Source organism: Homo sapiens, chromosome 4 (assembly GCF_000001405.40).
Source record: "Homo sapiens chromosome 4, GRCh38.p14 Primary Assembly".
Lineage (NCBI taxonomy): Eukaryota > Metazoa > Chordata > Mammalia > Primates > Hominidae > Homo > Homo sapiens.
In genome coordinates this window covers 118,144,944-118,162,474 of record NC_000004.12, presented here as the reverse complement: position 1 = coordinate 118,162,474, position 17,531 = coordinate 118,144,944, and the positions used below count along the sequence as shown (strand labels likewise).

The 17,531-nt window shown below is 37.2% G+C and overlaps 1 protein-coding gene and 1 long non-coding RNA gene across 14 annotated transcripts in view; one reads left to right on the top strand and one right to left on the bottom strand.

The window, feature by feature from the left end:
• Positions 1-17,531, bottom strand: part of NDST3 (N-deacetylase and N-sulfotransferase 3) — a 225,313-nt gene that overhangs the window by 96,160 nt on the left and 111,622 nt on the right. For 2 of the 13 annotated variants that reach the window (XM_047416415.1, XM_011532416.4), the window contains exon 7: positions 1-17,531. This exon is cut by the window's left edge and continues 16,176 nt beyond it. The exons of the other annotated variants lie outside the window; for them this stretch is intronic. In XM_047416415.1, coding sequence (XP_047272371.1) covers positions 17,520-17,531 — 12 coding nt within the window. In that variant the 3' untranslated portion in view covers positions 1-17,519. 13 annotated transcript variants of the gene reach the window in all.
• Positions 1-17,531, top strand: part of LOC107986307 (uncharacterized) — a 149,690-nt gene that overhangs the window by 41,952 nt on the left and 90,207 nt on the right. The gene's annotated exons all lie outside the window — the stretch shown is intronic.

The window sequence follows — 17,531 nt, the reverse complement described above, 5'->3', positions numbered from 1 at the left end:
TTTTCAAAGATCAGATAGTTGTAGATACGCAGCATTATTTCTGAGGGCTCTGTTCTGTTCCATTGATCTATATCTGTGTTTTGGTACCAGTACCATGCTGTTTTGGTTACTGTAGCCTTGTAGTATAGTTTGAAGTCAGGTAGCGTGATGCCTCCAGCTTTGTTCTTTGGCTTAGGATTGACTTGGCAATGAGGGCTCTTTTTTGGTTCCATATGAACTTTAAAGTAGTTTTTTCCAATTCTGTGAAGAAAGTCATTGGTAGCTTGATGGGGATGGCATTGAATCTGTAAATTACCTTGGGCAGTATGGCCATTTTCATGATATTGATTCTTCCTACCCATGAGCATGGAATGTTCTTCCATTTCTTTGTATCCTCTTTTATTTCACTGAGCAGTGGTTTGTAGTTCTCCTTGAAGAGGTCCTTCGCGTCCCTTGTAAGCTGGGTTCCTAGGTATTTTACCCAAGATGGCTGAATAGGAACAGCTCCGGTCTACAGCTCCCAGCGTGAGCGATGCAGAAGACGGGTGATTTCTGCATTTCATCTGAGGTACCGGGTTCATCTCACTAGGGAGTGCCAGACAGTGGGCGCAGGACAGTGGGTGCAGTGCACCGTGTGTGAGCAGAAGCAGGGTGAAGCATTGCCTCACTCGGGAAGCTCAAGGGATCAGGGAGTTCCCTTTCCTAGTCAAAGAAAGGGTTGACAGATGGCACCTGGAAAATCAGGTCACTCCCACCCTAATACTGCACTTTTCCGACGGGCTTAAAAAACGGCACACCAGGAGATTATATCCCTCACATGGCTCGGAGGGTCCTACACCCATGGAGTCTCGCTGATTGCTAGCAAAGCAGTCTGAGATCAAACTGCAAGGCGGCAGCGAGGCTGGGGGATAGGCGCCCACCATCGCCCAGGCTTGCTTAGGTAAACAAAGCATCTGGGAAACTCGAACTGGGTGGAGCCCACCACAGCTCAAGGAGGCCTGCTTGCCTCTGTAGACTCCACCTCTGGGGGCAGGGCACAGACAAACAAAAAGACAGCAGTAACCTCTGCAGACTTAAATGTCCCTGTCTGACAGCTTTGAAGAGAGCAGTGGTTCTCCCAGCACACAGCTGGATATCTGAGAATGGGTAGACTGCCTCCTCAAGTGGGTCCCTGACCCTGACCCCCGAGCAGCCTAACTGGGAGGCATCCCCCAGTAGGGGCAGACTGACACCTCACACGGCCGGGTACTCCTCTGAGACAAAGCTTCCAGAGGAATGATCAGACAGCAGCATTCGCAGTTCACGAAAATCTGCTGTTCTGCAGCTGCCGCTGTGGATACGCAGGCAAACAGGGTCTGGAGTGGACCTCTAGCAAACTCCAACAGACCTCTAGCTGAGGGTCCTGTCTGTTAGAAGGAAAACTAACAAACAGAAAGGACATCCACACCAAAAACCCATCTGTACATCACCATCATCAAAGACCAAAAGTAGATAAAACCACGAAGATGGGGGAAAAACAGAGCAGAAAAACTGGAAACTCTAAAAAGCAGAGCACCTCTCCTCCTCCAAAGGAATGCAGTTCCTCACCAGCAATGGAACAAAGCTGGACGGAGAATGACTTTGACGAGTTGAGAGAAGAAGGCTTCAGACGATCAAACTACTCCGAGCTACAGGAGGAAATTCAAACCAAAGGCAAAGAAGTTAAAAACTTTGAAAAAAATTTAGACGAATGTATAACTAGAGTAACCAATACAGAGAAGTGCTTAAAGGAGCTCATGGAGCTGAAAGCCAAGGCTCGAGAACTACGTGAAGAATGCAGAAGCCTCAGGAGCCGATGCGATCAACTGGAGGAAAGGATATTAGTGATGGAAGATGAAATGAATGAAATGAAGCGATTTACATTTTTCTAATGATCAGTGATACTGAGCTTTTTTAATATGCTTATTGGCCACATGTATGTCTTCTTTTGAAAAGTGTCTGTTCATGTCCCTTGCTCACTTTTTAAATAAAGTTGTTTTTTTTTTTTCTTGTAAATTTGTTTAAGTTCCTTATAGATACTGGCTATTGGACCTTTGTCAGATGTATAGTTTGCAAATATTTTCTCCCATTTTGTAGGCTGTCTATTTACTCTGTTGACAGTTTTGTTGTTGTGCAGAAGCTCCTCCTTCATTATTGAAGGACAATTTTGCAGGCTATAGTATTCTCAGTTGGCAATTATTTTTTCTTTCAGCATTTTGAATATATCTCCCTTCTCCATTTTGTCCTGAAAGGTTTCTGCTAGATATCTCCTCATAGTGTTATGGAGGCTCCCTTTTATGTGATGAATCAGTTTTCTTTTTCTGCTTTTAACATCCTTTGAATTTTGGCATTTTTATTATAACCTTTTCTGGTGTGGTTATCTTTGAGTTCTTCCTAGTTGGAGTTTGTTGGCCTTCTTGAACTTGGATCTCTACTTCCTTTTCCGTATTTGGGAAGTTTTGGCCATTATTTCTTCGAATAAGCTTTCTGCATTGTTCTCTCTTTCTTCTCTTTTTGAGACTCCCATAATACAAATATTTGCAAACTTGATGTTGTTTCCTAAGTCCCTTAGACTTTCTTCACTGTTTATTTTGTTTTATTTTATTTTGCTCCCTGGGCAATTTCAAATGACCTGTCTTCAAGTTCCCTGATTCTTTCTTCAGCTTAATCATGTTTGCTATTAAAACTAGGTAGTGATTTTTTCACTTCAGTTATTTTATTCTTCAGGTCTGAGATTTCTATTTGATTCCATTTTTAATATTTTCTATTTCTTTGTTGAAATTCTCACTTTGTTCATCCATTTTTCTCCTGAGTTTATTGAACATCTTTATGATGATTATTTTGAATTCTCGTCAGGTAATTTAATCTCTCCATTTCATTAAGTTGGTTTCTGGAGACTTATTTTGTTCCTTGGATTGGTCTATATTTTCCTTTTTCTTAATGCGCCTTGTTACCTTTTGTTGTGGTCTGTGCATTTCAAAAAATAGCTTCCTCTCTCACTCTGTAAAAAACAGGGTTTGTATAGGAACAAACCTTCACCAATCAGCCAAGTAAGAGATTCTGAGGTCCTCTCACCTCTAGTCTGTGGATACATCTGCAATAGACTTGTGTGTGTAAATTCTCAATTAGAGGGATTTACTGGTTGATTTTCTTCCAAGACCTTGTAATCTATTACTCCTTCTGGTGTTCTCTGGAGCTGCTATAAGCTGCCAAGCTGTCTTTTGTTGTCAGCAGCCCCTGGCTTCTAGAATATATTGGGTCCTGTCAGCACTTGGAGACAGATAAGATAAAAACTAGTTTCTCGGGCAACCATCCACCCACCCTTCTGCCCCTCTGTCCCCTGCCAAAAGCCTAAATGTTCAATGTACAAAAATGTACAAGCCAAATCTTTTCCTCCTATGGGACTGTGGGAGAAGCTAGAAGCTGGGAGTTTTCTTCCAGTTGCTCTCTGCTGAGTCAGTGAAAGGGACTATGGCAAGTGAGTGTTGTGAATTTTTTTACTGGCCTCTATGCAGCTGGTTTTGCGCTTGCCTGGGGTCCAGCAGTGTCTTAATTTGTTTCTGGATTTTTCACAAAGGGAATTAATTCATGTATTGTTGTTCAGTTGATGACTCTATGGAAGGAAGGAGGATATGGGACTTTCTATTTCATCATTTTGCTGATGTCACCCTACTTTATTTTGTATTGAATCACAGGAGGTGCATAATATCAGCTTATCTTGTTAAGTTACTCCACCTTTGGTGATGTTAAGTCTGATCACTTGGGTACAGTAAGAAACTGTCAGATTTCTCTATTGTGAAGAATGATTTTTCTCTTTGTAATTAATAAGTAATCTATGGAATTAAACCTTAAGGCTGTGTAATCTTTCACCCAAAAGTTTCAGCAACTATTGATGTTTCTTTTTTCAATCAATTGTTTTCATTGGTGTCTGCAAAATGATGATCTTTGAATTCCATCATTCTACCTGAATTCATCAGCTGGCACTGGTGTCTTTTCTACAGAAGAACTCTCCTTCTTTTTTCATACTTTGAGTATGTCTATAACCTCCATTTTTTTCATGCTAAAATTATCTCATATCAAGAGCACTTTTAGCTGATTTCTGTCCTGTTTAATACAAGCTTGTTAGTCTTTGAGTGACTGTTTCCCTTTTTTCTGGTACAAGGTGTTCCAGACTCAATTTGTACTTTCCATGTATCTGACTTGAATTTAGCCTTTTCTCCAAAAAGCCCACTTACTTTTGGGGAGAAATAGTATTTAGAAATTAAAATTTGAGCACTAGCTGAGCTCTTTGCTACTAAGTGTCATTGATTCTAGATAGAGGTAGGAAACCTTAAGTTCTTATTAATCTCCTCATTTCAAATTTAAATACTCTAATTCTCTCTTATTATCCTTCTTTCCATATTTTTATTCGTTTTATGGCGAAAACTCAGTTCCCAACAGCATCAATATATTCATTTATTTTTTTCTATCTGACAATACATGAGAAATGTTTCATAATTCAACAAAAATTTATTAATAAAGTTTATATTTTCCATGCAGACTTTTGTCCTATATTTCACTAAACGTATGCAGTTAGAATACTGTACTCAAAATTATTTTAATTAATTATTTTGTGTAATATATTACATACACATCCATGTTAGGTTTATTTGTTCATTTGTCTTCAATTTTCAGGTTTGCTTATCTCTCCCTCATCCTTTTCATTTATTATTTTGACTATATGTAAAACATTTCATGGTTCAAAATCAAAGCTATAGGCTGGGCTAGGTGGCTCATGCCTGCAATCCCAGCACTTTAGGAGGTTGAGGTGGGTGGATCATGAGGTCAGGAGATCGAGACCATCCTGGCTAACACAGTGAGACCCTGTCTCTACTAAAAATACAAAAAATTAGCCGGGCATGGTGGCACCTACCTGTAGTCCTAACTACTCGGGAGGCTGAGGCAGGAGAATCGCTGCTACCTGGGAGGCGGAGGCAGTGAGCTGAGATCACGCCACTGCACTCCAGCCTTGGTAACAGAGTGAGACTCTGTCTCAAAAAAAAAAAAAAACAAAAACAAAACTGTGTAAAAAATGTACGTAGTGAAGTGTTTCTCCCACTCACCCCCTTACTTTTCTGCTCTCATCCCACCATCCCCCCATTTTAAATGTAGTTTTCTTTTTATTAATAATTTAAATTTTTAAAATTTCTATTAATAATTAACAAAACACTTTTATTATTTTTGGTGTGTTTTTCCTGTATTTCTTTTCGTACAAGTAGGTAAATATCAATATGTATTCAGATTGCCCACTTTTTCCTCCCTTAATGTATTGTGGAAATCATAGCACATCAAAATCTTCTTAATTTTATTTGTATAGTAGTCTCTTGTATGGCTATACCACAGATTTTTTTAACTAGTCTCTTATGGATGGATGTTTAGGTTGTTCCCACTATTTGATGTACAAATAATCCGGTAATGAATAACTGAAAAAATGGTTTGCACTCAGATTGTTCATTAAAAAATTGACTTTGTGGTAATTCCTTCTTTAAGGTAGAGTCCTAAAGGTAGAATTTCTGCAGCAAAGAGCAAGTGCTATGTAGATTTGTTAGATGTTGTTAAATTTCTTCCATTAGGGTTGTACCATTTGCTCACGCACTAGGATGTATGAGAGTACCTGTTTTCCCACAGACTTGCTAACAGAATATCTTAGCAATCATTTGAATTTTTGTTAATCTGGTAGGTAAGAAATAGTGTCTCAATATAATCTTACTTTGCATTTTTCTTATTATGAGTGAAACTGAGCATATTCTCATAAACTCAATGACTTCAATAAAATGCCATGTTGGGAGACAATAAAAACCAGTTACTCAAACCCTCTGTAATCAAGTGAATTCTGTGGTGAGGTACTTCCAAGGCAACCAAATTTCTTTCAAATTCCAAAGATAGTATGTATGTAGTCATGGGAAGTCATGGGAAACACATTGTCTTTTATTTAGAACCTACTATGTGCCAAAACTTTTGCAGTGTACTGTGAATGTAAAATAGAATAAGGCATGATGTCTTCCATCAAGGAAGTCAAAAATTACTGGAAGGTAAAGATAATTGATTATAGGACTGTAGGCAAATTATAATTGGGTTATGCCTGAGTACCATGAGAACACAGAGGAGAAACCTTAGAAATCAAGCTGGAGGGTTGGGGATGTCTTCTTTAAAAAAATGATGTATGAGTTCAAATTTGCAGGAGGGCATTCCAGCTTGAGGTGATAGCACTTTAAGACATAGAGTGAGATAGTACAAAGTTTTGTTCAAGGTACTATGAATTATTCTGTATGGGTGGAGTGAAAGGTGCATATAAGAAATTATTGAAAAAAAGGATGAGAAAAGTGGACAGGAGCCAGATTTGATTTTTTTCAAGTGAAGAAATTTTCTGTCTATCCTGAATGCTAGAAATAGTATTTAGGAATTAAAATCTGAGCACTTTGTATTTAGTATGTAGGAATTAAAATCTTTGCTACTGGGTGTCATTGATTGCTATGGGAAACTATCAAAGGATTGAACAAAGAATAACATAATATTCATTTCTCCAACTTAATATCTATTTTCTTACATTTTAAGATAATATCCATTCCAAAAACTCCTATTTTTCTTAACTATGGAGGTCAAATAAAAAGCACAACTTAATCATGCTTTCTTGTGGTTTTCTTAATCTCAGAGTGACAAGTAATTACAGTAAGTTCTCACTTAATGTTATTGGTAGGTTCTTGGAAACTGAAACTGTAAACCAAATGACATATAACAAAACCAATTTTACCATTGGTTAAATAATCTAAACAAGAGTTAATTTCCTATGACATATTTCTGGCCCCCAAAACATCACCCAGCTTCTAAATAGGAACCAAAGAACTTTAATATTAAACATTGAAATAAATGTTAGCTCTACATATATTTAGGAAAGAGTAATAAAAACAAGTAAGATAATCATTTACCCAGTTATTCCAGTTTAGGATTGCTTGGGGGCCAGGGCCTATCCTGGCAGTTCAGGGCACAAGGCAAGAACCAACCCTGGACAATATGGTATTCCATCACAATTTATACAGGACAATTAACCTGATGTGCACATTTTTGGGATGTAGGAAGAAACCAGAGTATCAGGAGAAAACCCACATAGACATGGGGTGAATGTGCAAACTACACACAGATTGGCCCTGGATGGGAACTGATGTTTTCCTTATCAACATTATAACTAAATGATATTAAATGAAACAACATTATTTAAGGACCTGCTGTATCTAACACCACAGTTAGTGATGAAGAACATTAATAATAGAAAAATAGGGCTAATATGGAGGATAGCAAAAAGATGAAATAAAATGTTTTGGCTTTATAAATTTAAAAGTCTTACCATTTTATAAGTAATATCAATACAATGTATTAAGATAAAGAGAACATAGTTCTTTATTCGTAGTTCTTTAAAAGTACATTAGACATTTTTCCTTAACTGCAAGTGCTTATTACAGCTTTTCTCAAAAGCACTATTTTTTTGCTTTTTAACCCTACATGGAGATGGTTTGCTTTTTCTTAGACAATAGCCTGACATGTTAAACCACTCACAGATTTTCCCAGTACCAGGTCACTGACTCATATTAAGAAGGAATGTACATCACGTCAAGACCAATTTAGCCAGGCGTGCAGAAACAGTGTGTTGTAGCGGGTGAAGTGGTGAACTGAGAGTCAGGAAGAACAGAGTTCTGGTCGGAATACTATAGAAGTGACCTGCAGTGAACTAAATAATCTTTTTGGAATTCTAGTTCTCCATCAAAAATTAAAAGATTGATAGATAACCTTCCTGGTCTTTTCCAGTTTAATAGTCCTTTGTTCTGTGTCAGGTAAATTTCATCATCACTTATGAAAACCTGCTAAAGATTTAGGGCCATTCAAACATTTTCTGAAGTCTAAATTTCATTTACTTGCAAGCAGAGACTCTGCCAAATGTAGTTTTATTAAAACTAGGCTTGCTATTCACATTTGGATATACCTTAAAGCAAGTCATGCCCCTGAAATATAACTCTTCATGCGTTTAGTCAATCATTAAAATACATTTAGCAACCTCTTATTAGATTCAAACATTGATCTAGACACAATGGAAAGCACAAAGATGAAACACACACAGATTACCTCTGTAATAAGAATGCCCCATTATACAGTAGAAAAGATGCACACACAAATAATCACACTGTGGGGCAGGTGTTAGGCAACATATGTGACTTACAGATACAGAACAATTGGAACTGAGTAAATAGAAATTCTATTCCTGATATACCAACAACACAAAATAATTCCATTTTATGTACATCACTATTAAGTGATTATTATTATTTTTAGTGTAGCATTTATTGTGTAACTCTGTGTGTGTTGTGTCTCTGTGTGTGTACATGTGTATGAAGTTTCTGGTTATAACACTAATAGGTGTTCACTATAGATATTTTATAAAAATTAGAGGAAGATAATGGAAATCATCTTCAATTGTGTGATCTAGGATAACTACTGCTAACAATCTGCTGAGTTCTTTCTAGTTTATTTCCATACTCATATCTCATTTTCTTGTAATTTACTTTTCCCATTGAGAAGATCATGAATATTTCACGTCATTAAAATTATTATTATTATTATTATTTTAGATGGAGTCTCTCTCTGTCGCCCAGGCTGGAGTGCAGTGGTGCGATTTCGGCTCACTGCAACCTCCGCCTCCCGGGTTCAAGCAATTCTCCTGCCTCAGCCTCCCAAGTAGCTGGGATTACAGGCATGCACCACCACGCCCGGCTAATTTTTGTATTTTTAGTATAGACTGGGTTTCACAGTGTTGGCCAGGCTGGTCAGGGAACTCCTGAACTCAGGTGATCCACCCGCTTTGGCATCCCAAAGTGCTGGTATTAAAGGCATGAGCCACCACACCCAGCCAAACTTATTACACAACATGTTTTAAATGCCTGAATGTACCTTATTATATAGCGTATTTTATTACATAATGTATTTTATTACATAAGGGTGAACATAATTTATTTTGCTACTGGCCACTCCGCTGCTCCCTTTTGGACATTTAAGTTCATTCATTCATTTATAAAATATTTTTTAAGTACCTTATAATGCCATAACTCTTCCTAGTGTTGAGGTTTAGAGTAAACAAAACACAAGATATAAATGCCTATTGGAACTTGCATTCCAAGTGGGTATGGAGCAATACATATAATAAAATGATAAAATTAGCTGGTCCCATCTAAGAGAGCTACTTATTCTACTTAGACTTTGCAAGCTTCAAAATGAATCTTTTGAGCCTCTCCAAAGAGGTTCAGTTTACTCCCAAATCTGTGGGATTGGCTAGAAACCATAATGACTGTTCTCACAGGATTCAGATCAAGATAGATAGCTGCCATCGCACCTGCCTTTGCAAGCCTTTGCTGGAAGGATGGTTCTCAGGTAGCCGTTGCTCAGTCATAGTTTAGAAGTGGGGGGCATGTGGGGATATGAACCAAGAATGGACATTTCACAGAAGGCCAGGACTGATATGGGCTGACTCAGAAAGGTGAGCTGAAGCAAGTGGATTCCCTTGCTTGGAAATTCGACCTGAGAATCCAGCGGACGAGGCAGTCAGCAGTTAGAACTGGAGCTGAATCTTGATATGGAGAATATCTGATGCATTCATATTGGGCCATTTGTAAGATTAATTAACTACTGCAGAAACCGTAAACAAGCAGCACTTTTTTTGAAGGAATATTAATTTAGTCAGGAGTACAGAAAAGAGAAAGTTAGACATGTGAAAAGCATCTGTTGGGTTCAAAATAAAGCACTAAGGCAAGATTAATATTAGCATTTCTCATTTTTTTCTTTACCTTGTTTAAAGTTTTATTTCTATTGTAAGTAAAGCGACCTCATCAGAAAAATATTTACAGTAGGCCCCTTTTCCAGGGTTTTGGTTACCAATTGTCAACTGTGGTCCAGAAAAATTAAATGAAAAATTTCAATAATAAACAATTCATAAGTTTTAAAGAAATTCTGATTTTTATGGACCTTACAGCTACCTTGGTCTCAGAACACCCTCTAGGTCCTATGATTCCTGAATGTGTAGCTTTCTGGAGTCCCACATTACTTGAAGTAATATTACTTTCTGGAGTCCCATTACCTGAGGTAACTTGAATGAGCCTCTAGTCTTTAAACTATATCAACTCAACACAAATGAGTCTCTATACAGGAAGACAAATGCATGTGTAAAGAACAGAACACAACGATACATAATTCAGCCCCAGTGAATTCAGGAAACAGGTTTTCCTTATGCTTTTGATTTGAGAATTTTCTTACGAGGACTCGGATTTCCTTTTATGAATAGATTCATTTTTCTTTTTAAATCAGTTCATTAGAAAAGTTAATTTCTTTTCCTTAACAAATATATGCAAAATAAAAAACTAGGTAAAACATATTATGTTTAGACACTGGGATAGTTTTGGAAATGACAGACACATTCTCTACAACCACAAGCGTACAGGCTAATACAACCCACAATTATGATGCAGGATAATAAATACTTTGAAAGAGTCTGCAGAGGATGCTATAGAAACGCAGGAGGGGCCTCTAAATCAGAGTAGAAAAAGTTTCCTGAGGAAGGTGACCCCTACACTAAGTTTTTGGGATGAACAGCAGTAAACACTATTTTAAAATCCAGTTTAAGGTAGAGTTCTCTGGTCACTTAGGAAAACATTAATTCTTACTGTTTTTTAAAGTTCTATTGCAGATTTGGAGCCATTTTCCATTCTGAAACCTTGATTCTAGGTTTACAATTTCTATAACAGTTTTTGGTAATCTTTGATTACCAAAATTACTTCTCCATTTTCTTCCTCGGCAATATTTCTCTATTTGCCTGATCCTAACATTTACCTAAAGCGCATGGTGAGTATGTAGAGCCCCTAGGTCAATCCTAGAGATTCTGATGCATTAAGTTTGATTTCTAAAATTCAAGCATCTCAGGCAGTACTCACTATTAGGCATGTTCAGGAATTACTTTTATTTTATTTTATTTTTGTTGTTGTTGTTGTTTTTTAATATTTCTTTTTTTTATTATTATTATACTTTAAGTTTTAGGGTACATGTGCACAATATGCAGGTTAGTTACATATGTATACATGTACCATGCTGGTGCGCTGCACCCACTAACTCGTCATCTAGCATTAGGTATATCTCCCAATGCTATCCCTCCCCTCTCACTCCACCCCACAACAGTCCCCAGAGTGTAATGTTCCCCTTCCTGTGTCCATGTGTTCTCATTGTTCAGTTCCCACCTATGAGTGAGAATATGCGGTGTTTGGTTTTTTGTTCTTGCGATAGTTTACTGAGAATGATGATTTCCAATTTCATGCATGTCCCTACAAAGGACATGAACTCATCATTTTTTATGGCTGCATAGTATTCCATGGTGTATATGTGCCACATTTTCTTAATCCAGTCTATCATTGTTGGACATTTGGGTTGGTTCCAAGTCTTTGCTATTGTGAATAATGCTGCAATAAACATACGTGTGCATGTGTCTTTATAGCAGTATGATTTATAGTCCTTTGGGTATATACCCAGTAATGGGATGGCTGGGTCAAATGGTATTTCTACTTCTAGATCCTTGAGGAATTGCCACACTGACTTCCACAATGGTTGAACTAGTTTACAGTCCCACCAACAGTGTAAAAGTGTTCCTATTTCTCCACATCCTCTCCAGCACCTGTTGTTTCCTGACTTTTGAATGATTGCTATTCTAACTGGTGTGAGATGGTATCTCATTGTGGTTTTGATTTGCATTTCTCTGATGGCCAGTGATGGTGAGCATTTTTTCATGTGTTTTTTGGCTGCATAAATGTCTTCTTTTGAGAAGTGTCTGTTCATGTCCTTCGCCCACTTTTTGATGGGGTTGTTTGTTTTTTTCTTGTAAATTTGTTTGAGTTCATTGTAGATTCTGGATATTAGCCCTTTGTCAGATGAGTAGGTTGTGAAAATTTTCTCCCATTTTGTAGGTTGCTTGTTCACTCTGATGGTAGTTTCTTTTGCTGTGCAGAAGCTCTTGAGTTTAATTAGATCCCATTTGTCAATTTTGTCTTTTGTTGCCATTGCTTTTGGTGTTTTAGACATGAAGTCCTTGCCCGTGCTTATGTCCTGAATGGTAATGCCTAGGTTTTCTTCTAGGGTTTTTATGGTATGAGGCCAGCATCATGCTGATACCAAAGCCGGGCAGAGACACATCCAAAAAAGAGAATTTTAGACCAATATCCTTGATGAACATTGATGCAAAAATCCTCAATAAAATACTGGCAAACAAAATCCAGCAGCACATCAAAAAGCTTATCCACCATGATCAAGTGGGCTTCATCCCTGGGATGCAAGGCTGGTTCAATATACGCAAATCAATAAATGTAATCCAGCATATAAACAGAACCAAAGACAAAAACCACATGATTATCTCAATAGATGCAGAAAAGGCCTTTGACAAAATTCAACAACCCTTCATGCTAAAAACTCTCAATAAATTAGGTATTGATGGGACATATCTCAAAATAATAAGAGCTATCTATGACAAACCCACAGCCAATATCATACTGAATGGGCAAAAACTGGAAGCATTCCCTTTAAAAATTGGCACAAGACAGGGATGCCCTCTTTCACCACTCCTATTCAACATAGTGTTGGAAGTTCTGGCCAGGGCAATTAGGCAGGAGAAGGAAATAAAGGGTATTCAATTAGGAAAAGAGGAAGTCAAATTGTCCCTGTTTGCAGACGACATGATTGTATATCTAGAAAACCCCATTGTCTCAGCCCAAAATCTCCTTAAGTTGATAAGCAACTTCAGCAAAGTCTCAGGATACAAAATCAATGTACAAAAATCACAAGCATTCTTATACACCAACAACAGACAAACAGAGAGCCAAATCATGAGTGAACTCCCATTCACAATTGCTTCAAAGAGAATAAAATACCTCGGAATCCAACTTACAAGGGATGTGAAGGACCTCTTCAAGGAGAACTACAAACCACTGCTCAAGGAAATAAAAGAGGATACAAACAAATGGAAGAACATTCCATGCTCTTGGGTAGGAAGAATCAATATCGTGAAAATGGCCATACTGCCCAAGGTAATTTAGAGATTCAATGTCATCCCCATCAAGCTACCAATGACTTTCTTCACAGAATTGGAAAAAACTACTTTAAAGTTCATATGGAACCAAAAAAGAGCCCGCATCGCCAAGTCAATCCTAAGCCAAAAGAACAAAGCTGGAGGAACCACGCTGCCTGACTTCAAACTATACTACAAGGCTACAGTAACCAAAACAGCATGGTACTGGTACCAAAACACAGATATAGATCAATGGAACAGAACAGAGCCCTCAGAAATAATGCTGCATATCTACAACTATCTGATCTTTGACAAACCTGAGAAAAACAAGCAATGGGGAAAGGATTCCCTATTTAATAAATGGTGCTGGGAAAACTGGCTAGCCATATGTAGAAAGCTGAAACTGGATCCCTTCCTTACACCTTATACAAAAATCAATTCAAGATGGATTAAAGACTTAAACGTTAGACCAGGAATTACTTTTCTAGGTCTAAAGTTATTATCATTTATTTATTTTTCAGCGAAGGGTCTCCTATTATTAGAATGTGTTCCAGAACTAGCGAACAAAAAAAGAAACATAAAACTTCCCATTAGGTCAATGTATTATTTCCTTTCAGATGAATTTTAGAGAAAAGCACATACACATATAAAATTACAGTATTTTTTTTCAATTTCAATGTGGGTTAATTTCTTTTTATAAAGGCTTTCTTCTTGAGTGAATTCTGTTTTATTTATTTTAGTTGTAATCAATCTATGTGTTAATCCTAGTTTAAGATATTCACTCTATTCACATCCATGTTTATAATAAGAGAAACACAATTTAGATTTAACTTTTAGGGATTTGAGTAGGAGGGTATGTAGGGTATGGTGGAAGTATGCTATATCAAATTGAGAAACAGAGAGACAAAAAGCATTTAATAAAATGCGTGCATAAAGGGGTTAGCTAATGGTTCTGTGGGATGGTTAATGGTTTGATGAAGGAGGCACAATATTGTTACATGGTCAGGGATTTGCTTCACCTGAATTCCAAGCAAGTGTAGTATTGGCGCGCATTTTTTTTGAGACAGAGTCTCGCTCTGTCGCCCAGGCTGGAGTGCAGTGGCGTGATCTTGGCTCACTGCAACCTCTGCCTCCTGGATTCCAGTGATTCTCCTACCTCAGCCTCCTGAGTAGCTGGGACTACAGGCGCCTGCCACCACGCCTGGCTAATTTTTTGTATTTTTAGTAGAGACAGGGTTTCACCGTGTTAGCCAGGATGGTCTTGATCTCCTGACCTCATGATCTGCCCACCTTGGCCTCCCAAAGTGCTGACATTACAGGCGTGAGCCACTGCGCCTGGCCCATTGGCATGAATCTTGTGGCAATCCACAGCTGCTTTTTTGGATTAATAGGTAAGCACTGACTTTATTATCAAGCATGTTGAAGGGAGGCAAAGTGTTCTATATCTATAGTTGTTAATGACTCAATACCTGGAGTCTATTTATTCAACAAGTGCATAAGCAAAGACTCATAACATCTTGTGATTAGAGATAAGAACCCTGAAGCAAAAAAGTGACATTTTTGTTTAGTGCATATGAGATGATAATATGGCTCCCACAAGAAGTACAAACCTGTCTAAGCCGGAACTTTTCCAATCAGCATATTAATTAACTATTACTGCATCTTCCTAAGATAGGTGGAACTGGAAACTTGTTAAAATGAACACTATAGTCGTACTAGTTCCTTTTGTCTAAGTATATACGTCATATATAGAGTTTTATTTATTGAGGGCAGATGCAGTCATTGCCAATTAATCCTTTTTGTTATCTTCATAAGTTTCAGTTCTTAGTACCCTTCTGCATTTTATTTTATATAAGTATCTAAAGTAAATAGAATATCACAATTTTTGAAAATATATATGAGTACTCTGTATAATTGTAAATTGATCAAGAATGTTTGTATCTAGGTATATTACATGTTTGTGTAGAAATCTCATGCCTGTGTGTTGCTAGCAGTGACTCTGGGGTACTTCCAGTGGCTCTCTCCCATGGTATATCATGAGGTAACTCTCATTACCATCCTTAATCAACGAACACTCTGAGGTCTGTTTCTGACCGACAGGCTCCAAAACCTGATTCAGTACACTTGCAGAGAGAGTCAGTATTTTTCTGGGGCAGAATCAGATTAGCAAAAGCTCATGAAACCAATGAATAAAAGCAGGATACCATCTATTAGTTTAAAATGGGTAATTATAAATTAGAGAGGAACTGAAATACTCTTCAATTACTGTCTATACAATTAGAGGGCTCTTTCCAGGTAGTCCGGTTACATGGGAAGTATTGATCAATTAAAATAAAACTTATAAAATTATATTGCAAATTATTGTCCCAGAGAGTACAAGTTCCTATGATTAACATATTCTTTTCCTATAGTAGGATCTACGTGGGAAAGTAAACCATAATGAGGAAGTCATCAGTTGGGTTTAGAATCAGGAAAAGTAGTATTAGAAAAATGGAAATCTCAATGGTTCCAGGCTCAGATAGCCTGCTAGGTCCACCTCCCCCAAATGGATCTAAACTTCAAAGTCTATTAATCAAAACCCCTGCATCCAGCTTACGTGAGAGTTGTCCAGGCCTGTGACATTGGAAAAGCTCATTTAGAGATGACCAAAGTTTTCTCTTCCCCAGACAGTGCTAACATTTGTCTTTGTAATTCTCTATTTTGTTAAATTCACTTGATTGATACTTCTTTCTTTTACATGACAAATATTTTGGTAACATTAGAACATTTCAGGCCAGAGAGTTATTCTGTTTAACGGTTTTTTTACCTTTGCTGTGATCTTTCCAGTTTAACTCTGAGGGGCACCTTATTGTAACCCTTTCTCACCCCAGTACTGGTAAGTTAGTATAGCACCTTGATATTATGTTGACATATGGGAAAAACTTAAAACCCTCATTAATTAAAGTCCTGTTTATATTTTTGTTTTCAGCTCAAATGTATGTGAATGTATTTAAGTGCCATGTTTCCAATACACATCTATCTTTTTGTAGTAAACGATAACCTCACTTGGCATTCTCAGAAAATGGCACTTCTAATTGAGGCCTGGGGTATTACTTAAACTTACAATGGCTATCTTTCAAATCCACTATAATTAAAATTCATGACTTTCCTGCAGCTAATGTATACTTTGATTCCATCAAGGTTTTCTCATTTCCATCCTGGCCTAATAAAAAATGTCATCTGCTAAATTACTGGCATGCCTTACTGCATCTGGATCTTCCTTAGTTTCAATACAAACTTTGTCCAAGCACTTAATTTCAGGATGGAGAATTCATGGGAAACATGCCACTACTCCTTACTCTGTTCTCCAAGACAGACATCACTAACTAATTATAGTAGTCCGGCCTCCGGCTAGATGTGGGCTGAATCCAGATGTGGGCTTCTTAACCTTTTGTTTCCAGGTGAGTAGAATTGCTTCCAGTATTAGAGTTGGTGTGCCAGATAACGTTAGCTTTGGGTTCCTTGTCTGTCTTGTGGCATCTGACAAGATTTGTCATTTATTTTGAGTCTAGGGATTTTTTTCTGAAAGTAATTGTCTACTGAAAGTTTTCTGAATCAGGAAAGAACAAGTTTTGTGCGGCTCCCCCAACCTGCCACCTTTATTCTTATGAATCTCCTCCTCAAGACATAAAATTGCCAAATATCATTCATAAAGGCCTGAAAAATAGCGAGGTTTGTTAAGGAATTTGCTCAGTTAGTCCAATTAGTGTCCAAGATTAACATAAACTTTACTGTAAGGTTTTTAAAAACAAAGACAATAGTTTGGTTTTTAAATTAATAAAAAATGTAATATTTCTTATCACAAAATGGATGAAATTCTTAGTATAAATCCATTGTACATGAATGATTTAACTTTGAATTTCTTCCACACTAAATGAAACTCATTTGGTTTAGAAATTCGGAGATAAAATCCTACTGTGAACTTTTAAGAAGTTCATGATTATTTGTTAATACTTCTGTTGCTCTATGATGAAAGTAAATGTGAAACATCAGAATTTTACAGATGATAGATTAAAGTGCTTAAAATTATTGGTGAAAATGTTAGCATTTTAAGAGTGTTTTAACTGCTTCTTCAGTTCATAACCAGGCATTGGTTTAACTCTTTTTGACTGTATATTACTGTACTGGCTGAATTGAGAAAAAAGAGAAGAAAGCTGTATAAGGAGACTCAAAATACTTCCATTTGTGAAAATAGGTAAGTTAGAAGAGTTATTATATTTCTGATGTTCAAACCAGACTTATTTGTATTTTTGGGATCTGAAGGTTGATAAACTTTCAAAAGTCCAAATATCACATTCCTCCAAACTATCCCCATTTTTGAATACACGAGCAGGTTTTGTCCAAAGATGAGTTACTCTTTCTTCTATCTCATTTT